A 25,547-nucleotide genomic window follows, 5' to 3' on the forward strand; every position below is an offset into this window, starting at 1 on the left:
CGTCTCAAAAAAAAAAAAGGCTCAGGTTTTGAGATCACAGACTTCAATGTGAATTGATGCTGCACTTTTCTGCCTGTGAATCCATGGGGAAATTTAACCTCTAAACAGTTTCTTTAGGTACAGTAAGTATAAAAGGGGAGAATGTCTACTTCCCTACAGTGTTTTAAACATAAAATAATATTTAGTTACAGATAATAGGTGTTCAAATAAGTAGGTTTATTATTTCTCTCCATGAAGTAAAATATTATTTCCTTGCACCAGTGGTTCTCAAAATGTAGTTTCCATGCCAACAGCAGCAGCAGCATCCAGGCACTCAGAAATACAAATTGTCAGGTACCACTCCAGACCTACTAACTCTGAAATTCTAAGAAGTGGTTTTATCAAGTCCTCCAGTGTAATTACATGGTCAAATTTAAGAACTAGGGCTATATGCCAAAGACATAAGAGGAAACTATGTAGCCAATTACTGCAGAACAGCAGTTTTCAAGATTTCTTAGTCAAAGCCTGAATTTGGGGCTGGGCATCGTGGTCATGCCTGTAATCCCAGCACTTTGGGAGGCCAAGGCAGGAAAACTGCTTGAGCCCAGGAGTTCGAGATCAACCTGGGCAACATAGTGACACCCCTATCTCTACAAAAAATTTTAAAAATTACCTGGGCGTGGACACACACCTGTAGTCTCAGCTACCTGGGAGGCTGAGGAAGGAAGACTACTTGAGCCCAGGAGATTGAGGCTGCAGTGAACTATGAACGGCACGTGCCACTGTACTCCAGCTTGGACAACAAAGTGAAACTCTAACACCAAAAAACTTGAATTTGGCCAAAAAATATTGAAGACCCAAAAGAACTTGTTTACATAGGTTATATCTAGTAATATTTACTTGTACTCTAAATTAAAACTAGGAATTTAATTTTTTAATTCTTTTTTTATTTGAGATGGAGTTTCACTCTGTTGCCCTGGCTGGAGTGCAATGGTGCCATCTCAGCTCACCGCAACCTCTGCCTCCCGGGTTCAAGCGATTCTCTTGCCTCAGCCTCCTGAGTGGCTGGGATTACAGGCATGCGCCACCATGCCTGGCTGGTTTTCTTTTGTTGTTGTTTTTTGTTTTTTATATTTTTAGTAGAGATGGAGTTTCTCCATGTTGGTCAGGCTGGTCTCAAACTCCCAACCTCAGGTGATCCGCCTGCCTCGGCCTCCCAAAGTGCTGGGATTATAGGCGTGAGCCACCATGGCTGGCCCTAATTTTTTTTTTTTTTTTTTTTTTTTGGAGACAAGAGTCTCAGTCTATCGCCCAGGCTGGAGTGCAGTGGTGTGATCTTGGAAGTACAACTTTGTCTTCCCGGGTTCAAGCGATTCTCTTAACCTCTGCCTCCCGAGTAGCTGGGATTATAGGTGCCCACCACCATGCCTGGCTGTTTTTTTGTTTGTTTTTGTATTTTTAGTAGAGATGGGGTTGCCCCATGTTGGCCAACCTGGTCTTGAACTCATATCCTCAAGCAATCCACCTACCGCATCCTCCCAAAGTGCTGAGATTACAGGCATGAGCCACCACGCCTGGCCCAAAACTAGGAATTTAAAAAATTGTAAACCATGCTGGGCGCAGTGGCTCACACCTGTAATCCCAGCACTTTGGGAGGCCAAGGTGGGTGGATCACAAGGTCAGGAGATCGAGACCATCCTGGCTAACACGGTGAAACCCCGTCTATACTAAAACAAAAAAAATTAATTAAAAATCAGATAAAGCCAGATGCAGTGGCTCATGCGTATAATCTCAGCACTTTGGGAGGCCAAGGCAGGCAGGGTCACATAAGGTCAGGAGTTCGAGACCCGCCTGGACAAGATGGTGAAACCCTGTCTGTCCTAAAAATACAAAAACTAGCCAGGTGTGGTGGTGCATGCCTGTAATCCCAGCTAATCAGGAGGCTGAGACAGGAGAACAGCCTGAACCCAGGAGGCAGAGGTTGCAGTGAGCGGAGATCGTGTCACTCATGCCAGCCTGGGGGACAGAGCAAGAGTTGTTCTAGAAAAAAACAAACAAAAATAAAGCCATTATATGTTAACATAAATAACATATTCTCATGAAAAATAACTATTTGCCAAAATAATTATAATAAGAATTGCATTGTTTTACATTTTTGGAAACCTCTTTTTTTTTTTTTTGGAGATGGAGTCTCACTCTGTTGCCCAGGCTGGAGTACAGTGAGGCAATCTTGGCTCACTCAGCTCAATGCAACCTTTGCCTCCTGGGTTCAAGCAATTCTCCTGCCTCAGCCTCCCAAGTAGCTGGGATAACAGGGGCATGCCACCATGTCCGGCTAATTTTTGTATTTTTAGTAGAGACAGGTTTTTGCCATGTTGGCCAGGCTGTTCTCGAACGCCTGACCTCAAAGTGATCTGCCCACCTCGGCATCCCAAAGTGTTAGGATTACAGGCGTAAGCCACTGCGCCTGACCCATTTTTGCAAACCTATTTAATGGCTGACTTAATATAAGGTAGCTGAATTCTCCTATCTGCTTCCGCACTCAATCTGTTGTGCTATTATACATCACACATGGCCTCTGCAAAACTCCAGTACATGGTCAGGAGAGAATGAAAGTGAAAAAGGCAAATTAATACATTGGCATTGTAATAAAAACAGCTTTGACCTTGAGGAACCCTAAAAGGTGCTTGGAGGCTACCAGGAGTCTCTCTCTTTTTTTTTTTTTTGAGACGGAGTCTCCCTCTGTCGTCCAGGCTGGAGTGCAGTGGTGTGATCTCAGCTCACTGCAAGCTCCACTTCCCGGGTTCACGCCATTCTCCTGCCTCAGCCTCTCAAGTAGCTGGGACTACAGGCACCCGCCACCACGCCCGCTAATTTTTGTTTTGTATTTTTATTAGAGATGGGGTTTCACCGTGTTAGCCAGGATGGTCTCGATCTCCTGAACTCATGATCTGCCTGCCTTGGCCTCCCAAAGTGCTGGGATTACAGGCCCCTACGAGTCTCTTGAACTACCATTTGTGAATCACTTCTGGCCAGGAATGGTAGCTCATGCCTGTAACCTCAGCACTTTGGGAGGCTAAAGCTGGTGGACTGCTTGAGCTCAGGAGTTCGAGACCAGCCTGGGCAATGTGGTGAAACCCCGTCTCTACCAAGAATACAAAAAAATTAGCCAGACGTGGTTGTGAGCCAACTGTGGTCCCAGCGACTCAGGAGGCTGAGGTGGGAGAACTACTTGAACTCAAGAGGCAGAGGTTGCAGTGACACAAGATCATGTCACTGTACTCTGGCATGAGTGACAGTGAGACCTCCATCTCAGAAAAAAATAAGGGTAAGGAAAAAAAAAGAACCACTACTATTGGGTTAAACACATAGTATGTTTTTAAATTATAATACGGCTTGCTTAAAACAAAATGTCAAAAATCTGGTTACTATCACTGAATCATAGCTCATATGCTTCATGCTTTACTGTATTTCTTAATTTACTTTACTTTTCTTTTTTTTTTTTTGTTGAGGCAAGAGTCTCACTCTGTCGCCTAGGCTGGAATGCAGTGGCGCAATCTTGGCTCACTGCAACCTCCTCCTCCCGGGTTCAAGCAATTCTCCTGCCTCAGCCTCCTGAGTAGCTGGGATTACTGGCACCTGCCACCCGTGCCTGGCTAATTTTCTTATTTTTAGTTGAGACAAGGTTTCACAAAGGCATGAGCCACTGCACCCAGATGATTTTTCTTCTTTTAAAATGAGTTATTATCTGATCAATTGATTTTTCTTAGAAATCATTTAAAAGGCCAAGTGAGGTGGGTCATGCCTGTAATCCTAGCATTTTGGGAGGCCAAGGCAGGTGGATCACCTGAGGTAAGGAGTTCGAGACCAGCCTGGCCAACATGGTTAAACCCCGTCTCTAATAAAAATACAAAAATTACCCAGACGTGGTGGTGTGCACCTGTAATCCCAGCGACTCAGGAGGCTGAGGTAGGACAATAGCTTGAACCTGGGGGGCGGAGGTTGCAGTGAGCCGAGAACATGGCACTGCACTCCAGCCTCATCGACAGAGACTCTGTCTCAAAAAAAAAGAGAGAGAGAAATTACTTATCAATGCTCAAGCTTCCAAAATAAACAATTAAATGGCTAATGTGGCTAATGGCTATTGTTAGCAGAAATACTAGGGAGTTAGAACCTCCCAATCCACCTCCTAAGTGGTGGCACCTGTCCGTCACTCCAGAAATAAACAAAATTACAAATAATCTGATGTCACTTTATATCCAAAATAGTAAGAATTTAAAATTAGGGGAATAAGAGTTAAGAGTAAATTTAACGGCTGGGTGCGGTGGCTCACGCCTGTAATCCCAGCACTTTGGGAGGCCAAGGTAGGCAGATCACAAGGTCAGGAGATCAAGACCATCCTGGCTAACATGGTGAAACCCCGTCTCTACTAAAAATACAAAAAAATTAGCTGGGTGTGGTGGTGGGCACCTGTAGTCCCAGCTCCTTGGGAGGCTGAGGCAGGAGAATGGTGTGATTCCAGGAGGCGGAGCTTGCAGTGAGCCGAGATAGCACCACTGCACTCCAGCCTAGGTGAAAGAGCAAAACTCTGTCTCGAAAAAAAAAACAAAAAAGAAATTAAATGTTATTTATATTACTTCCCTTCAATTTTTTTAATTTATATAAGAGCCAAGCTTTTTCACTGGGTAGAAAATTACTAAATAATCATATTAAGAATCTGGCAAAAGGCCAGGCGCGGTGGCTCAGGCCTATAATCCCAGCACTTTGGGAGGCCAAGGCAGGCGGATCACGAGGTCAAGAGATTGAGACCATCCTGGCCAACCAACATGGTAAAACCCTGTCTCTCCTAAAAATACAAAAAAAATTAGCTCAGAAGGCGGAGGCAGGAGAACCACTTGAACCCAGGAGGCAGAGGTTGCAGTGAGCCTAAATCATGCCACTGCACTCCAGCCCAGGCGATAGAGCGAGACTCCGTCTCAAAAAAAAAAAAATTTGGAAACAAACAAAAAAAACAACCCACAATTCTTTCATTCAGATATAACAACTCTCAACACCTTTTTTAAAAAAAAGTATTACATTTTACTTGAAATTAAAATGAAATGAGGTGCTAAGTGCTGTGCTCATGCCTGTAATCCTAAATCAGGAGGCTATGGCAGGAGGATCACTTGAGGCCAGGAGTTTGAGGCCAGCCTAGGCAACATAGCAACACCCCTCTCTCCACAAAAAGTAAAAATATTAGCCAGGCGTGGTGGTGCATGCCTGTAGTCCCAGCCACTCCAGAGGCTGAAATGGCAGGATCAATTGCGCCCAGGAGTTCAAGGCTGCACTGAGCTATGATTGTGCCACTCTACTCTGTAGCCTATAGTCCCAGCTACTCAGGAGGCTGAGGTGGGAGGATCCCTTAAGCATGGGAGGTTGAAGTTGCAGTGAGCCTCTGATCACACCACTGCATTCCAGCCTGGGTGACAGAGCAGGACTCCGTCTCAAAAAAATTAAAAAAAAAAAAAAAATTAGTTGGGCGTAGTAGCTGTAGTCCAAGCTACTCAGGAGACTGAAGCAGGAGGATCACTTGAGCCCAGGAAGTCCAGACTGCAGCGAGCCGTGATCATGCCACTGCACTCCAGCATGGATGACAGAGCCAAGCTTGGCTAAAATTTCTTTCTTTTTTTTTTTGTGATGGGGTCTGTGCTCTATTGCCCAGGCTAGAGTGCAGTGGCACGATCTCGGCTCACTGCAACCTCCGCTTCCTGGGCTCAAGTGATCCTCCAGCCTCAGCCTCCTGAGTAGCTGGGATCACAGTCATGCACCACCATGCCTGGCCAATTTTTTGTATTTTTGGTAGAGATGGGAGTTTTGCCATGTTGCCTAGGCTGGTCTAGAACTCCTGAGCTCAAGCAATCCACTCACCTTGGCCTCCCAAAATGCTGGGATTACAGGCATGAGCAACCACACCCGGCCAAACTTGGCTAAAATTTAAAGTAGAAAGGAATAAAACTACTCTTGCAGGTATCATATAGCACAAACCATCTCTCTAGCATCCTGTAGGTTAGAAATTTGTGATAAGACTTTTAGAACTACTTGAATAAGGCAAAAAAGCCTCAAGTAGAAAATTTATTATTATTATTATTATTATTATTTTTTTTTTTTTTTTGAGATAGTCTTGTTCTGTCGCCCAGGCTGGAGTGCAGTGGCGCAATCTTGGCTCACAGCAACCTCCGCCTCCCGGGTTCAAGCAATTCTCTGCCTCAGCCTCCCGAGTAGCTGGGATTACAGGTGCCCACCACCACACCTGGCTACTTTTTTGTATTTTTAGTAGAGACGGGGTTTCACCATCTTGGCCAGGCTGATCTTGAACTCCTGACCTCGTGATCCACCCGCCTTGTCCTCCCAAAGTGCTGGGATTAGAGGCATGAGCCACCACACACAGCTGAAAATTATTTTTTACAGAAAAAAAGGACGTTTCCTCCAATTACACTTATAACTTGCATTAATAGTTGATAATCTGTGTGGGCGAGGGGACCACAAAGAGCACTCTAAAAGGCTGGCGAAAATACAGATCCATGGGGGGGAATTTTTTTTTTTTTTTTTTTTTTGAGATAAAGTATTCTCAAGCGATCCTTCCACCTCAGCCTCTTCAGTAGCTGGGATTACAGGTGTGTACCACTACATCTGGCTAATTTTATTTTTAGTACAGACAAAGTCTCACTATGTTGCCCAGGCTGGTCTTGAATTCCTGAACTCAAAGGATCCTCCTGCCTCAGCCTCCCAAAGTACTGAGATTACAGGTATGAGCCACTGCACCCAGCCTATGATTCTTACTCAAAAGAGCAGTAACAATTATCATCAAACTAATGTATCTCTAACTTGCTCATCAAGGTAATGTGAGCTGTAAGTATACATATGTGTATGTGTGTGTTTTGAAGTCTCTAGTCAATTCCCAACCTTTAGTTCTAAAGCTACCCCAGTGGACCTCTACTCTGTGTATCCTCTACTTCTCAGCTTAGGGCACTCTAAGAACTGCCCCACTTTCCCCAAAAGTTCTTTCCTACACGCATTTGTCACCAAATTTTTTTTTTTTTTTGGAGACAGAGTTTCGCTCACATTGCCCAGTCTGGAGTGCAATGGTACGATCTCAGCTCACTGCAACCTTGGCTTCCCAGGTTCAAGCAATTCTCCTGCCTTAGCCTCCGAATAGCTGGGACTATAGGCACCTGCCAACATGCCCGGCTGATTTTTGTATTTTTTAGCAGAGATGAGGTTTCACCATGTTGGCCAGGCTGGTCTCAAACTCCTGACCTCAGGTGATCCGCCTGCCTCAGCCTCCCAAGGTGCTGGGATTACAAGCATGAGCCACCACGCCTGGCCTTTCATCACCTAATTCTGTCTACTTATTCTCTTTTATCAATTTCTTAGATTTAGTGGTTTTTAAATGGTATTCATTTTTTCCAACACTCTTAAAAATGCTTTGTTGTTCTGTTTTTTATAGAGACAGGGTCTTGCACTTTTGCCCAGGATGGAGTGCAGTGGCGTGATCACAGCTCACTGCAACTTCGAACTCCTGGGCCCAAGGAGTTCCTCAGCCTTCTGAGTAGCTGGGACTACAAGTGCACACCACCATGCCAAACTAATTTTTGTGTTTTTCTGTAGAGATGAGGTTTTACCATGTTTCCCAGCCTGGTCTCAAACTCCTGGGCTCAAGTCATCTACATACTTCAGCTTCCCAAACAGCTGGGATTACAAGTGTGAGCCACCATGCCTGGCCTGGCCAGAATTCTTTATTTTTTAAAAGTATCTTTTTAGTCACTTAGGGAAAACATACATTCTTATGATTCTATCACACTGAATCTATCTCATGGATGTCATTATATTTGTTTCTTCTTTCATTTACATAGAGTTTAGGGAGAAAGACGAACGTTAATAGTGATCTCGGTCAGTGGCTTTTCTTTCTTCTGAGACAGAGTCTGCTCTGTCACCCAGGCTGTGGTGCAGTGGTGTGATCTTGATTCACTGCAACCTCTACCTTCCAAGTTCAAGCATTCATCAGTTTATCTTGAACATAAAGTCTCAAAAAACACTCCAAACTTAAATCCCCAAACTTTTTTTTTTTTTTGAGACAGACTCTTGCTCTATCGCCCAGGCTGGAGTGCAGTGGTGTGACCCTGGCTCTCTGCAAGCTCCACCTCCCGGGTTCACGTCATTCTCCTGCCTCAGCCTCCCGAGTAGCTGGGACTACAGGCACCCGCCACCAGGCCTGGCTAATTTTTTGTATTTTTAGTAGAGACGGAGTTTCACTGTGTTAGCCAGGATGGTCTCAATCTCCTGATCGGCCTCCCAAAGTGCTGGGATTACAGGCATGAACCACCGCACCCAGCCCCAAACTCTTTAATCTTATGAGAAAGCGGGGCCAGGTGTAATGGCTTGTGCCTGTAATCCAAACACTTTGTATTTGTAATCCAAACACCCACAAAGTGGGTGGCTCAGCTGAACTCAGGAGTCCCAAGACCAGCCTAGGGGCCAGGTGCAATGGCTCATGCCTGCACTTTGGGAGGCTGAGGCAAGTGAATCGTTTAAGGTCAGGAGTTCAAGACCAGTCTGTCCAACATGGTGAATGAAACCCCACCTCTACTGAAAAAAGTACAAAAATTGGCCAGGCGTGGTAAGGAAGAGGAGGTCAAAGCTGTAAAAAACAGCAGAATAATTTGAGCCAGAAAATCAGACTTCTTTTCTCTTTTTTTGAGACACCTTTCCTGTCCTTAGTGTAAAAGGCTAGAGTGCAGTGGCACAATCACAGCTCGCTGCAACCATGACCTCCCAGGTTCAGGTGATCCTCCCACTTCAGCCTCCCCAGTACCTGGGATCACACAAGCAAGCCACCATACCCAGTTAATTTTTGTACTTTTGTACAGACAGGATTTCGCCATGTTGCCCAGGCTGGTCTCAAACTCCTAGGCTCAAGGAATCCACTCACCTCAGCCTCCCAAAGTGCTGGGATTACAGGTGTGAGCCACCATGCCTGGGCCAGCCTTCTTTTACTTAACCTTTCCTGTACCTTTTCTTCCTTACAAAGACAAAACAAGGCTGGGCGTGGTGGCTCATGCCTACAATCCCAGCACTTTGGGAGGCCGAGGTTGGCAGATCACTTAAAGTCAGGAGTTCAAGACCACCCTAGCCAACATGGTGAAACCCCATCTCTACTAAAAATATAAAAATTAGTCGGGCGTGCTAGCTTGAACCCCAGAGATGGAGGTTGCAGTGAGCCAAAATAATGCCACTGCACTCTAGTCTGGGCAACAGAGTGAGGCTCTGTCTCAAAAAGTAAGTAAATAAATATAAAGATAAAAAATGAGTAAATCTCAGCCTGGGCAACATGGTGAAATTCTGGCTCTATCAAAAATACAAAAAATTAGGCAGGTGTTGGTGGTGTGCGCCTGTGGTCCCATGTACTCGGGAGGCTGAGGTGGGAGGATTGCTTGAGCCTGGGAGGCTGGGGTTGCAGTGAGCCAAGATCATACCGCTGCACTCCAACCTAGGTGACAGAATGAGACCCTGTCTCCATTACAAAAAAAAAAAAACTCTCCATATGCCAGATACTTTATTATCTTATTCAGTCTCATTAAATGGTATTATCCTTATTTAACTGATGAACAAACTGGAGGTAAAGATTAATAAGCTCATGCCAACAATTGAGTGGTCAAGTCAAATTTAAACCCAGTACTGAAGCTTCAGAGGCTATGTCCTTCCAATATACTCGTCTGCATTTTTGAGGAGCTACAGTGAAACCTACTTCAGCTGGGAACAGTGGCTCATGCCTATAATCCCAGCACTTTGGGAGGCTGAGCCATGAGGACTGCTGGAGGCCAGGAGTTCAACACCAGCCTGAGCAACATGGCGAGAGTCCATCTCTACCAAAAATGAAAAAATTAGCTGGGCATGGTGGCACGCACCTGTAGTCCTAGCTACTCGGGAGGCTGAGGTGAGAGCATCACCTGAGCCCAGGAGGTAGAGGCTGCAGTGAGCCATGATCATGTCACAGCACTCCAGCCTGGGCAAGTGAAATCCTGTCTCTTAAAAAAAAAACAGAAAAAATGAAGGAAAGGGAAACCTTCTATCTCACCAGGCACACCTCTCCATACTCCTGCCTCTCCAGCATGTTTCAGTCCCTTTCCTATCCTCTTAGTATAAAAAGACTTCCAGAATACAATGAAATTAAACCATAATAGACAATGGCAAGAAAACTGCATTTGCAACTAGAGGAGCCTGTTATCTCACATAAAGACCTCTAAAGAGGAAAACTTTGGCCAGGCACGGTGGATCACACCTGTACTTTGGAGGCCAAGGCCGGTGGATCACCTGAGATCAGAAGTTCAAGACCAGCCTGACCAACATGGTGAAACCCTGTCTCTACTAAAAATACAAAAATTAGCCGGCACAGTGGCAGGTGCCTGGAATCCCACCTACTCAGGAGGTTGAGGCAGGAGAATCGTTTGAACCCAGGAGGCAGAGGTTGCAGTGAGCTGAGATCACGCCACTGCTCTCCAGCCTGGGTGACACAGTGGGACTCCATCTCGAAAAAAAAAAAAAGGAAAACATTTTACCTTCTCAACAAATGTACTAGTTTCTCGTCTTTCAGAAAGTTTATCATCAATTAGCATTATTTTTTTGTGCCTTACAATTTTTATTTTTATTTTTTTTGAGATGGGATCTCACTCTGTCACCCAGGCTGGAGTGCAGTGGCACGATCTCAGCTCACTGTAACCTCCACCTCCCAGGCTCAAGCGATTCTCCCATCTCGGCCTCCCTAGTAGCTAAGACCATAGGCGTGCATCACCACACCCAGCTAATTTTTTCTTATTTTTGGTAGAAACAGGGTTTCACCATGTTGCCCAGGCTGGTTTTAACCTCCTGGGCTCAAGCAATCCTCCCACCTCAGCTTCCCAAATAGCTGGGACTACAAGTACATACCATCCCTGGGTAATTTTTTTTTATTTTTTGTAGAGACGGGGTTTTGCCATGTTGCCCAGGCTGGCCTCAAACTTCTGGACTCAATGATCCGTCCACCTTGGCATCCCAAAGTGCTGGGATTACAGGCATTCACAAATGCACTTAGCCGTTTTGTGGTTTAGAAACAACAAACACAGACCCAGAAATCCATACGTAATCTGAGTTATGGAATCACACAAGTTAATGAAGATCACTGAAATACATCAGCCTTTCCATTTTTAAATTAATTTCAAATGTTACACTATCAGTAATCAGCCAAGACCAGCCCTCCTGTGTTCTGTCTCTATTCAGGATGACACAAATAGAAAGGAAGCCTCAGATGGACGTGGTGGCTCACACCTGTAATCCCAGCATTTTGGGAGGCCGAGGTGGGCGGATCATGAGGTCAGGAGATCGAGACCATGCTGGCTAACATGGTGAAACCCCGTCTCTACTTAAAATACAAAAAATTAGCCAGGCATGGTGGCTGGCGCCTGTAGTCCCAGCTACTCGGGAGGCTGAGGCAGGAGAATGGCGTGAACCCGGGAGGCGGAGCTTGCAGAGAGCCAAGGTCACACCACTGCACTCCAGCCTGGGGGACAGAGCGAGACTCCATCTCAGGAAAAAATACAAAAGAAAAGAAAGGAAGCCTCAGTCATATGAAGCTATCACACCTAAACCCAGTACCAAAAGATCTCTAATTTCAAAACTATTCAGCTCTCCACAGCAAAGATCAAATATTTGGGCCAGGCGCAGTGGCTCATGCCTGTAATCCCAGCACTTTGGGAGGCCGAGGCAGGTGGATCACGAGGTCAGGAGATCGAGACCATCCTGGCTAACATGGTGAAACCCCGTCTCTACTAAAAACACAAAAAAATTAGCTGGGCGTGGTGGCAGCTGCCTGTAGTCCCAGCTACCTGGGAGGCTGAGGCAGGAGAATGGCGTGAACCTGGGAGGCAGAGCTTGCAGTGAGCTGAGATTGCACCACTGCAGTCCAGCCTGGGCAACAGAGCGAGACTCCATCTTAAATAAAAAAGACCAAATATCTGTGGTGTTTTTAGTTTACAGTACTCGAAAATATTTTTAAGGCCAGGCATGGCAGCTCATATTTGTAATCTCAGCTCTTTGGGAGGCCAAGGCAGGAGAATATCTTGAGGCCAAGAGTTCAAGACCAGCCTGGGCAACATAGGGAGACTATATCTCTACAAAAAAAAAAAAAATTAATTAATTAGCTGCACGTGGTGGTACATGCCTGTGGTCCCAGCTACTTGGAGGTTGAGGCTGGATGATCGCTTAAGCCTTGGAGGTCAAAGCTGCAGTGAGGAGTGATCGTGCCACTGCACTCCAGCCTAGGTGACAGAGCAAGACCCTGTCCCTCAAAAAAAAAAAAAAAAAAAGTCAGGCGCCGTGGCTCATGCCTGTAATCCTAGCACTTTGGGAGCCCGAGAAGGGCAGATTACCTGAGGTCAGAAGTTCGAGACCAGCCTGGCCAACAAGGTGAAACCCAGTCTCTACTAAAAATACAAAAATTAGCCGGGCGTGGTAGCACATGCTTGCAATCCCAGCTACTCAGGAAGCTGAGGTAGGAGAATCGCTTGAACCCAAGAGGTGCAGGTTGCAGTGAGCCGAGATGGCTCCATTGCATTCTAGCCTGGACAACAAGAGCGAAACTCCAACTCAAAGAAAAAACAAACAAACAAAAAAAAGGCTGGGCATGGTGGCTCACACCAGTAATCCCAGCACTTTGGCACTTTGGGAGGCCAAGGCACGCAGATCTCTTGAGGTCTGGAGTTCAAGCCCAACATGGGGAAACCCAGTCTGTATTAAAAATACAACAAAAATTGCTGAGGGTGGTAGTGCACACCTGTAGTCCCAGCTACTCAGGAGTCTGAGGCATGAGAATAGCTTGAACCCGGGGGACAGAGGCAAGAATGCACCACTGCACTCCAGCCTGGGTGACAGAATGAGACTCTGTCTCAAAAAAGAAAAGAAAAAAACAACCCAGGTGTGGCCGGGTGCGGTGGCTCATGCCTGTAATCCCAGCACTTTTGGATAAGGAGGCAGGTGGATCATGAGGTCAGGAGTTCAAGACCAGCCTGGCCAACATAGTGAAACCCCGTCTCTATTAAAAGTATAAAAAATTAGCCGAGTGTGTTGGCAGGCACCTGGAATCCCAGCTACTCAGGAGGCTGGGGCAGGAGAATCCATCCTGGACCACAGTGCAAGACTCCATCTCAAAAAAAGAAGAAACAAACAAAGAAAACAACCCAAGTACAATGACATGGCAGCACCACAGTGTTGGTCAGCCTCGGAAAGCCAGTCCCCCACCATCACTGACATCGCCGCCGGCGGGGTCACGTGCCGGGACCGGGTTCCGGTGTGGAGAGCCCCTCATCCTGGGAAAAGGTGCTGCCAGAAAGGTGGCGCCCCCTCACTCATCACGCAAGTCACGTTGAACCTGATGCTAAACCAATCATAGATGACCCGCTTCTGGGTTGGGGTTTCCTAGGTAGCTAAGCAGATCCCTGGCTGCAATCTATTCAAAGTCAGTCCTTGACACTGGGGTTTGTTTAAAAAAAAAAAAAAGCTTAAAGAAAAAGGAGAAGAAAGAAAAAACTTTTAGTCCACATTAACTTTGAAAATCTTAGTGTTAAATAACCTATAACATCCACATAGATGTGATGAGCCCACTAACTAAAACACTGACAACAAATAAAGTACATTAAACAGGCTGCACCTCAGCATTTCCCATATACCTGAACCTGCTGCGGCTGCTGAACCTGGATCTGCTGTTCTTGCTGGGTTTGTGGCTGAACACTGGTGGTGACTGGACAGGCAAGTTCAAGCAAAGACCCAGCCACTTCAGTGCTGTCTGTGTATATGCAGTTCCCACCCTGTTGGTACACCATGGTAGTGGTGGCTGTCTGCTGGAACTCCTGAAGGGCTTCTGGCCCCTTAGAGGCCAGTGAGTCCAGAAATTCCTTCATCCTGTGTTGCGGGACAGACCGTGCCTTTACTCGGATGTACTCTTCAAAGGAGATGGTGTTCTCTAGGGAATTATTCATATTGCAGAGTCCTTAGGGTTCCTAGAAATAAACAGAAGTCAAAATTATGTTACTGTTTTTAGCAGGAAATGCCCAGAAGCAATTACCCTTGCACAAGAGTGGAATATATTCAGGGCAGCTGTATACATATAGAATCAAAAAATAAAGTTTTATTATACCACCTTATTTTTTCAATTAATGGATGTTTGAAAATTATTTCTATTAACATTTCTTAAATAAAACTATCACACTGAAAACAAAAAAACAAACACATGCTTCACAATACTGGATGAAACAGGCTGAAAACACACTTCCTACCCAGCACTAGGTCAATCCCATCTTCTCTGCAGAGCCAAGCACTGGACAGTAAATGTCACATGCAAAACTGCTCTGTGACCATCACAGAGAGGACACCAAGCAAGGAGGAAGCTAGGGGCAGGGATTCCTATGGATATGTTTTATTTCCAAGTATTTCCTACAGCAGAGATAGGTATGCCACCTAGTTGTGGCAAGACACAAGAGGCAGAGGATATGTTCTTCATCTCCCATCAGAAAAACCAAAAATCCTATTTTGCCATGTGGTGCTCACATTCTTTTGCAACACAGCTTACTACTGGTTAAAAGCATGGACTCTGGAGCCAGGCTGCCTGGGTTCAAATCCCAACTTTATGTCTCCTTTATTATGTAACTCTAGAAAAGTCAATTAACCTTAGTTTTCTTGTGAGTAAATGGGGACACAATAGTACTTACCTCACAGTTGACATAAGGATTAAATAAGGCATTTAGAAAATCATCTAGCACATAGATAGCACTACAGAAATGTAACTAATACTATTAAAATAATTCTGGAAAAAAGGTAAATAGTGCTTTAAATATCCAGGTCACTACTAAAATTCAGAAATAAATTCTACAAGTTTTCATCAGGTATTTAATTACCTTAAGAATTAACCTGCAGACGTACAGTTAACTCTCATCATCTGAGGGAAAAGTGTGCAATCTGTGGACTGCTGACCCCTGTCGCTGCTACCTTTGTACCATCCTCCCTTCAACAGCCCGACCTCCAGAACAAAAGTAGCAGCAGGATGAAAGAGTAACAGAAAACAAGCGAACGTTTTTGCCAAAAAGGATTATCAGACAATTCTGAATGTCTGGAAAGGTGATTTGTTCCCTTGAGCAATCAGGATAGATACACTAGACTGACCAGATGCTCTACCTTATGTTACAGATATAAAATATGTGGGTAAACGTCTCCTTTCTTCTACCTAGGCTCTAAGTTCTTGGTAGACAAGACTATGTCCTGGTTCTCTCCGAATAGCTCACCCATGGTAGTTGCTTCATATATACCTGCTGCATTTGAAATTCAATGTGGAAAACGAAGAATTATGGTTCCTTTTTTTTTTTTTTTTTTTTTTTTTTGAGATGGAGTCTCATTCTGTTGCCCAGGCTGGAGTGCAGTGGCTTGATCTTGGCTCACTGCAAGCTCCACCTCCTGGGTTCACACCATTCTCCTGCCTCAGCCTCCCGAGTAGCTGGGACTACAGGCGCCCACCACCACGCCCAGCTAATTTTTTTGTATTTTTAGTAGAGACGAGGTTTCCCCATCTTAGCCAGGATGGTCTCGATCTCCTGACCTCGTGATCCGCCTGCCTCAGCCTCCCAAAGTGCTGAGATTACAGGCGTGAGCCACCACACCTGTCCTTTTTTTTTTTTTTTTTTTTTGAGTTGGAGTCTCCCTCTGTCGCCCAGGCTGGAGTGCAGTGGCACGATCTCGGCTCACTGCAGCCTCCCAGGTTCAAGTGATTTTCCTGCCTCAGCCTCCCGAGTAGCTGGGACTACAGGTGCCCACCACCATGCCCAGCTAATTTATGTATTTTTAGTAGAGACTGGGTTTTGCCATGTTGGCCTGGCTGGTCTCAAACTCCTGACTTCAGGTGACCCTCCCGCCTCGGCCTCCCAAAGTGCTGGGATTATAGACGTGAGCCACCCAATTGGTTTCTGTAATATCCATAGCTCCACGGACTCAAGCAATCCTTCCACCTCAGCCCAGGCAACATGGAGAAACCCCATCTCTACAAAAAATATATAAAAATTAACTGGGTATGGTGGTATGCACCTGTAGTCCCAGCTACTACGGAGGCTAAGGTAGAAGGATTGCTTGAGCCCAGAGATCGAGGCTGCAGTGACCCGAGATCACTCGAATGCACTCCAGCCTAGGCGACAGAGCGTAACTCTGTCTAAAAAAAACAAACAAACAAACAAACAAAAAAATTAAGTTATCAGCTGGTCACAGTGGTGCACACATGTAGTCTCAGCTACTCAGGAGGCTGAGGTGGAGGATTGCTTGAGACCAGGTCTTTGGGCTGGGAAACCTAGAGAGACTTTCATCTGTTAAAAGAAATAAATAAATAAAATAAAATAAATAATTATAATAAAATATTATAATAATTACAATTATGTAATATAAATATAATTTTTACATAAATATAAAAATATTATAATTATAATAATTAAATATTATAACAATTATAATAAAATACTATAATAAAATAATAATAATTAAGTGGTCAACGATGTCCACATCACACATAAAGAGAGCATCAGGCCAAGCACACTTTGCCTAACTACAGATTCAGAGAAGGCTACTTGGCTTAGGTGATCCGAGAGCACTCATTTGCCACACTTGCACAGAATGTATCAAAGTTCCCCTTTGTTAATAGCACAGTAGCGATTTCCTTAAGAAGGCATCTTTCAGCCCAGTGCGGTGGCTCACGCCTGTAATCCCAGCACTTTGGGAGGCAAAGGCAGGCAGATCACCTGAGGTCAGGAGTTTGAGACCAGCCTGGCCAACAAGGCGAAACCCTGTCTCTACTAAAAATACAAAAATTAGCCAGGCATGGTGTCAGGCACCTGTAATACCAGCTACTCGGGAGGCCGAGGCAGGAGAATTGCTTGAGCCCAGGAGGCAGAGGTTGCGGTGAGCCGAGATCGTGCCACTGCGCTCCAGCCTGGGCGCCAGACTGAGACTCTATCTCAAAAAAAAAAAAAAAGGCATCTTTCATAATAGAGATCCGGTAACATTAGAAAGTTATGAAACTCTAATATCTAATCACATATACCCTTCTGCTCAAAAGGGGACAAAGGAGAGATTATATGAGCAGCCATTAACAGGTCCTCTACCATGCTGGTACATAATTTCAGTTTTTCATCTCCATTATAAAAGAGCAGCAGAGGTCAGCTGGAATTTACATTTCCTGAAATGTATTTTCTTCAACTGTCAGTTGCATTCACATAATATACTGAGACTGATTAAATTTTCAAAGCTACTATAAAAAGCAATTTTTTTTTTAAGGTACAAAAGTAAAGCGTTTTTACATGCAGCAAAAACCTGTTTTGTCTGAAGTCTGGGAAAAAACAAATGACTAAACACCAATACAAAGAAACACTGCTTCCCAACGGAGTAGATGGGAATTCAATATCAAACAAAACAAAAACAACAACAAAAAATAATTTAAAAAAAAACAAGAAAAAAGAAACACCTCAAACAAAGTTTACAGAACTGAAAAACCTTCGTGACTATTGCCCAGTAAAGCCAGTCTCTATGATCCTCCTAGTAACCCTATTTCTCCTCACTCTTGTATTTCAAGTTTCAGAAACTCAGAAGGGGCAGCTTAAGCCTCACCTCAACTCTGATATTAAGTGTAAAGGATAATTTCACCGACTTTTCTTCTTTTCTTCCTAGAAACAAGCTTTCTTCAGTATTCAGTATAGAATTCCACCTAGTTTTTGTTTTGTTTTTGGAGGTTTCTTGGGGGGTTGGGGACAGGGATATGAAACTCAACTAAGAAAAACCATTATAATAGTATAAAAAGATATAAAATAAAAAGTAAAAACAGCTAAGTATGCTTTGACCTCTAGTTCTTCATCATGCCATTGCACTCCAGGCTGGGCAACAAGAACGAAACTCCATCTCAAAAAAAAAAAAAAAAAAAAAAAAAAGCCTAAAAAAATTATAAATAAAAAACTAAAAATCACCCTCCTCTCACCAAACCCTGCCAATCACATTTTTATTCTTAGTTTTGTTATGATTACTTTCATACCTTTAAGCCTCTACTTGCAGACTCATTAATTTTAGAGTATTGGCCAGGTGCGGTGGCTCAGGCCTCTAATCCCAGCACTTTGGGAGGCTGAGCTGGGTGGATCGCCTGAGGGCAGGAGATCGAGACCAGCCTGGCCAACATGGTGAAACCCTGCCTTTACTAAAAATATAAAAATTAGCCGGGCATGATGGCACATTCCTGTAATCCCAGCTACTCAGGAGGCTGAGACAGGAGAATCACTTGAACCCAGGAGATGGAGGTTGTAGTGAGCCGAGACTGCACCACTGCCCTCCAGCCTAGGCAACAGAGTGAGACTCCATCTTAAAAAAAAAAAAAAAAAAATTTCAGAGTATCTATGGAGTTCTCACTATGTAAGATCAGGAAATTAAAGTTCCACACCCCTGATTTTTTGTTGTTGGTTTCTTTAGACAAGGTCTTATTCTATCACCCAGGATGGAGTGCAGTGGTAAGATCTTGGTTCACTGCAACCTCAACCTCCTGGGATCAATTGTTCCTCTCACCTGAGCCGCCCAAGCGGCTGGGACTACAGGCGTGTACCATCACGCCCAGCTAATTACAGTATTTGTTAGAGAGACAGGGTTTTGCCATGTTGCCCACGCTGTTCTCAAACTCCTGGGCTCAAGAGATCTGCCCACCTCGGCCTCCCAAACTGCTGGGATTACAGGCGTGAGCCACCATGCCTGGCCGAAGCCTTCTATTTTTTTTTTTTTTGAGACAGAGTCTTGCTCTGTAGCCCAGGTTGGAGTGCAGTGGCGTCATCTCTACTCACTGCAACCTCTGTCTCCCGGGTCCCAGCCATTCTCCTGCCTCAGTCTCCAAAGTAGCTGGGATTACAGGCATACGCCACCATGCCCAGCTAATTTTTGTATTTTTAGTAGAGACAGGGTATCACCGTGTTGGCTAAGCTGGTCTCGAACTCCTGACCTTGTAATCTGCTGGCCTTGGCCTCCCAAAGTGCTGGAATTACAAGGCACCTGCCCCCATACCCGGCTAATTTTTGTATTTTCAGTGGAGATGGAGTTTTGCTATGTTGGCCAGCCTGGTCTCAAACTCCTCACCTCAAGCGATCTGCCCAACCTCCCAAAGTGCTAGGATTACAGGCATGAGCCACTGCGCCCAGCAAGGTGTCCTCTATTTTTGACAAACATTTAGCTAAGTGAATATAACTTCTATTTAATCAATATTTTAGTTTTAGAATACATTTCATACCAAAGTCCAGAACATATTTTTTGTCAATCAAGGTTCCAAAGATATGATTAAAACAATTCTGCTGCCTATGTCATCTCCAAATAAATCCTACCAGCCAGTATTTCTAGAATAGTACCTTTAAAAAGTTACTATAAGAAACTCTAGTCCAAATATACATTTATTTCCTGAGCAAAAAGGCAAATAAGCTAGATATTCAGCTGTCAGAAAAAATAAAAGCTTCAAAAAGTTACTTGCTATAAACCATCAAAATCCATTCTTTAAGCCTTCCATTTAAAAAAAAAGAAAAAAAAAGCCGGGCACGGTGGCTCACGCCTGTAATCCCAGCACTTTGGGAGGCTGAGGTGGGTGGATCACGAGGTCGGGAGATCGAGACCACCCTGGCTAACACGGTGAAACCCTGTCTCTACTAAAAATACAAAAAATTACCCTGGCGTGGTGGCAGGCGCCTGTAGTCCCAGCTACTCGGGAGGCTGAGGCAGGAGACTGGCGTAAACCTGGGAGGCAGAGCTTGCAGTGAGCCGAGACCACACCACTGCACTCCAGCCTGGGCGACAGAGCAAGACTGCGTCTCAAAAAAAAAAAAAAAGAAAAAAAGGCCAGGTGTGGTGACTCACGCCTGTAATCCTAGCACTATGGACTTTGGGGGGCCAAGGAAGGTGGATAACCTGAGGTCGGGAGTTCGAGACCAGCCTGACTAACATGGAGAACCCCCGTCTCTACTAAAAATACAAAATGAGTTGGGCATGGTAGAGCATGCCTGTAATCCCAGCTACTTGGGAGGCTGAGGCAGGAGGATCGCTTGAACCTGGGAGGCGGAGGTTGCAGTGAGCCAAGATCGCACCATTGCACTCCAGCCTGGCGACAAAGTGAGACTCTGTCTCAAAAAAAAAAAAAAAAGGGGGGGGGGGAGCCTGGGATGATGGTGCATGCCTGCAGTCCCAGCTACTCAAGAGACTGAAACAGGAGGATTGCTTGAGTAGTCCAGGAGTTCTGGGCTATAGTGCTCTATGCCAATCGGGTGTCCACACTAAGTTCAGCATCAATATGGTGACTTCAAGGGAGCAGGGAATCACCAGGTTGCCTAAAGAGGGGTGAACCACCCCAGGTTGGAAATGGGGCAGGTCAAAACTTCCATACTGCAGTAGTAGAATCCTGTCTGTGGATAGCCACAGCACTCCAACCTGGGCACCACAGTGAGATCCCATCTCTTAGAAATAATAGTAATAATTTAAAAGACAAACAAGCTTGAGGTAGGAAAAATTCCATAAAACCATTAGAAAATATCAATACTAAGCTTGGCATGGTGGTTCTCGCCTGTAGTCCCAGCTACTTGGGAGGCCGAGGCAGGAGGATAGGATGGCTTGATCCCAGCAGTTTGAGCCTGCAATGAGCTATGATCATGCCACTGCACTCCAGCTTGGGTGACAGAGTGAGACTCCATCTCAAAAAAAAAAAATTAGCCAGGTGTGGTGCTGCATACCTGTAGTCCCAGCTACTTGGGAGGCTGAGGCAGGAGAATCGCTTGAACCCAGGAGGCACAATCTTGGCTCACTGCAACCTCCGTGCCCCCCAGGTTCAAGCGATTCTCCTGCCTCAGCCTCCCGAGTAGCTAGGATTACAGGCACCTGCCACCGTGCCTGGCTAATTTTTGTATTTTTAGTAGAGGCAGGGTTTCACCATCTTGGCCAAGCTGGTCTTGAACTCCTAAACTCATGATCCACCCGCCTCAGCCTCCCAAAGTGCTGGGATTACAGGTATGAGCCACCGCACCCGGCCCACATCCGGCTAATTTTTATATTTTTAGTAGAGATGAGGTTTTGCCATGTTGGCCAGGCTGGTCTCGAACTCTTAACCTCAGGTAATCCACTCGCTTCCACCTTCCAAAGTGCTGGGATTACAGGCATGAGCAACCACACCCAGCCTAAATTCTTTTTTATTTTTATTTTTATTGAGACACAGTGTTGCTCTGTCGCCCAGGCTGGAGCGTAGTGGCACGATCCTGGCTCACTGAAACCTCCGCCTCCTAGGTTCAAGCAATTCTCCTGCCTCAGCCTCCAAAGTGGCTGGGATTACGGGCACCCGCCACCATGCCCAGCTAATTTTTGTATTTTAGTAGAGACGGGATTTCGCCATGTTGGTCAGGATGTACTCAAACTCCTGACCTCAAGCGATCCACAGCATCGGTCTCCCAAAGTGCTAGGATTACAGGCGTGAGCCATCACATCCAGCCAAGATTGTGAGACCAGCCTGGCCAACATGGTGAAACCCCATCTCCACTAAAAATACAAAAACTAACAGGGCATGGTGGCAGCCACCCGTAATCCCAGCTACTCTAGAGGCTGAGGCAGGAGAATTGCTTGAATCCGGGAGGCGGAGGTTGTAGTGAGCTGAGACTGCGCCACTGCACTTCAGCCTGGGGAAAGAGTGAGACTCCACCTCAAAAAATGATAAAAAGGAATGCTAACAGTAGTTATGCCTAGATGATGGAACCACAGAGTAATTAAGTTTCTTCTGTTAAACACTCTTCTGAATTTTCCACAAGTGGTATTAATCTAAGGCTCACGCCTGTAATCCCAGCACTTTCCGAGGCAGGCAGATCACCAGATCAGGAGATCGAGACCATCCTGGCTATCACGGTGAAACCCCGTCTCTACTAAAAATACAAAAAAATTAGCCGGGTGTGGTGTTGGGCGCCTGTAGTCCCAGCTACTCGGGAGGCTGAGGCAGGAGAATGGTGTGAATCTGGGAGGTGGAGCTTGCAGTGAGCCAAGATCGTGCCACTGCACTCCAGCCTGGGCGACAGAGCAAGACTCCGTCTCAAAAAAAAAAAAATCATCTTTTTCTACACAGTGGCTATAGTGTAGTAATGGTAAGACACATAATTCTGGCTGATCATAGTATGATTTTCTTTCAAAATCTGAAAGAAACTAAACCGGCCGAAAGAGGTGGCTCATGCCTGTAATCCCAGCATTTTGGGAGGCCGAGGCAGGCGGATCACCAGGTCAGGAGATCGAGACCATCCTGGCTATCACGGTGAAACCCCATCTCTACTAAAAATACAAGTGGTTATAGTGTAGTAATGGTAACAGACACGTAATTCTGGTTGATCATAGTACGATTTTCTTTCAAAATCTGAAAGAAACTAAACCTGCCGAACGAGGTGGCTCATACCTGTAATCCCAGCACTTTGGGAGGCCGAGGTGGGTGGATCACCTGAGGTCAGTAGTTTGAGACCAGCCTGACCAACATGATGAAACCCCGCCTCTACTAAAAATACAAAAAAAATTAGCCAGGTGTGGTGACACGTGCCTGTAATCCCAGCTACTCGGAAGGCTGAGACAGGAGAATCGCTTGAACCTGGGAGGTGGAGGTTGCAGTGAGCCAAGACCATGCCACTGCACTCCGGCCTGGGCAACAAGGGCAAAACTCCATCTCAAAAAAAAAAAAAAGAAAAAGAAACTAAACCATAAAATACCAAAAACTTGTACAAAATAATGAAGACTTAACTTCAAGATGCTGCACATAAGACACAAAAGTTGAGCCTTCGTAATAAAGAGAAATGGAGAAACTTCTAAAAGAGACAAAAGATTCTTAATTAGCTCCAAGTAAAAGACTTAGTAAGAAGCAATAAAGAAATTAATTAAAGTATTTCTGAAAAACATGCAGCCATGAGGATATCTGAGTGTTCCCAATTTCTGGGACTCTGATGAGACTAATAATGAAAAAAGAAAATACTCTAATGCTCTTGGGGTGTATGAGGTCTGTAAACAAGCATTTACTTCTAAACGCTTTTAAATATAGCTGCATTGTAAAAAAAAAAAAATAAGTAACAATAAAGGAAAGCCAGCCCTCCCTTAAACAGACCCTGGACATTTTTGCTGGTATAAAATCAAATTGTTCACTGGTATCTCCTCTGTATCTCCCTCTTTTTCTTTTTCTTTTTTTTTTTTTGAGATGGAGTCTCACTCTGTCGCCCAGGCTGGAGTGCAATGGTGCGATCTCGGCTCACTGTAAGCTCCACCTCCTGGATTCACACCATTCTCCTGCCTCAGCCTCCCAAGTAGCTGGGACTACAGGCACCCACCACCACGCCCGGCTAATTTTTTTGTATTTTTAGTAGAGACGGGGTTTCGCCGTGTTAGCCAGGATGGTCTCGATCTCCTGACCTCGTGATCCTCAGCCTCCCAAAACTGGGATTACAGGTGTGAGCCACTGCGCCTGGCTCCTCTGTATTTCCTCCTACTGGAGCTTAGCATAGTGCCTGATGCACAGCAATTCTTCACTACATGAGTTATTATTTTTATTATTTTATTATTAGAACATAAGATGGTACCATGGACAAAGGTTACTCCAAAACAACAATCTATTACATTTCTATAGGTCTGTTTGCTAATTTTTTTCTTTTTTCCGTTTAGGTACCAAGGGAAGATCTTATTGCAATCACTGTTTCTTGGGTTTCTTATCCCTGATACCTCTTTTGGGCCCCCTGTATGGCTCTGCAGAGTGAGTCTTCAATCCGTGATGGACTAAAAGAAGTCTGAACTGCCTCAGAACCTTACCTCTTCCTTGGGCTTTGAGGCCCCTCAAGGTTCACATCTACTCCAACAATGGCTCTTCATAGCTTAGTCCAGTTTGAATACATTCATATGGGGCCCGGTGCAGTGGCTCACGCCTGTAATCCCCAGCACTTTGGGAGGCTGAGGTGGGCGGATCACCTGAGGTTGGGAGTTCAAGACCAGTCTGGCCAACGTGGTGAAATCCCATCTCTACCAAAAACACAAAAATTAGCCAGGCGTGGTGGTGGGCACCTGTAACCTCAGCTACTCGGGAGGCTGAGGCAGGAGAATCACTTGCACCCAGCAGCCGGAGGTTGCAGTGAGCCGAGATCGCGCCACTGCACTCCAGCCCGGGCAACAAGAGCAAAACTCTGTCTCAAAAAAATAAAATAAAATAGGCCAGGCACAGTGGCTCACGCCTATAATCCCAGCAGTTTGGGAGGCTGAGGCAGGCAGATCACAAGGAGTTTGAGACCAGCCTAGCTAATATGGTGAAACCCTGTCTCTACTAAAAATACAAAAATTAGCCAGGTGTGGTGCCTGTAGTCCCAGCTACTAGGGAAGCTGAGGCAGGAGAATTACTTGAACCCGGGAGGCGAAGGTTGCAGTGAGCCACGATCGCACCACTGCACTCCAGCCTGGGCAACAGAGCAAGACTCCATCTCAAAAAATAATAAGAAAAATAAATTTAAAAAAAATAAAAATAAAAAAATAGGCCAGGTGCAGTGGCTCATGCCTGTAATCCTAGCACGCTGGAAGGCCGAGTCGGGCATATCACGAGGTCAGGAGTTCAAGACCAGCCTGGCCAACATGGTGAAACCCCATCTCTACTAAAAATACAAAAATTAGCCAGGCGGGGTACCATGCGCCTGTAGTCCCAGCTACTCGGGAGGCTGAGGCAGAAGAATTGCTTGAACTCAGGAGGCGGAGGTTCATCTCAAAAAAAAAAAAAAAAAAAAAGAACAATGTCTTCTATGCTTCTTTGAAATAACTCCATATGTTTATAAGACAGACATGACTCCTTAAAATGGAAATTGATTTTTTTTCCATGTGAATATATTCATTTTATTTCATTTATTTTTTTTTTTTTGAGACAGAGTCTCACTCTGTCACCCAGGCTGGAATGCAGTGGCACAATCTCGGCTCACTGCAAGCTCTGTCTCCCGGGTTCACGCCAGTCTCCTGCCTCAGCCTCCCAAGTAGCTGGGACCACAGGCGCCCGCCACCACATCCAGCTAATTTTTTTGTATTTTTTAGTAGAGAGAAAGTTTCACCGTGCTAGCCAGGATGCTCTCGATCTCCTGACCTCATGATCTGCCCGCCTCGGCCTCCCAAAGTGGTGGGATTACAGGCGTGAGCCACCGTGCCCGACCAGAATTGACGTATTTCTATTCTTTTGCCTGGGTTTTGTTTCTTTGTATTTTTATTTTTTTGAGACGAAGTCTCGTTTTCTCACCCAGGATGGAGTGCAATGGCATCATCTCGGCTCAATGCAACCTCCGTTTCCCAGGTTCAAGTGGTTCTCCTGCCTCAAGCCTCCCTAGTAGCTTGAACTACAGGCGCACGCCACCCAGCCCAGCTAATTTTTTTGTATTTTTAGTAGAATCGGGGTTTCACCATATTGGCCAGGCTGTTCTCGAACTCCTGACCTCAGGTGAGGA

At 45.3% G+C, this 25,547-nt stretch overlaps 1 protein-coding gene and 1 pseudogene across 10 annotated transcripts in view; one reads left to right on the forward strand and one right to left on the reverse strand.

Moving 5' to 3' along the window:
• The window catches only part of QRICH1 (glutamine rich 1), a 64,667-nt gene that overhangs the window by 33,287 nt on the left and 5,833 nt on the right, over positions 1-25,547 (reverse strand). For all 10 annotated transcript variants that reach the window (NM_001320584.1, NM_001320585.1, NM_198880.3 and 7 more), the window contains one exon: positions 13,716-14,045. In NM_001320584.1, the coding sequence (NP_001307513.1) occupies positions 13,716-14,024 (309 nt within the window). In that variant the 5' untranslated portion in view covers positions 14,025-14,045. The remainder of the gene's footprint in view (positions 1-13,715; positions 14,046-25,547) is intronic.
• On the forward strand, positions 20,240-20,539 carry RN7SL182P (RNA, 7SL, cytoplasmic 182, pseudogene; annotated as a pseudogene).

The sequence above is a fragment of the Homo sapiens genome, chromosome 3, assembly GCF_000001405.40.
Source record: "Homo sapiens chromosome 3, GRCh38.p14 Primary Assembly".
In the NCBI taxonomy this organism is placed as follows: Eukaryota; Metazoa; Chordata; class Mammalia; order Primates; family Hominidae; genus Homo; species Homo sapiens.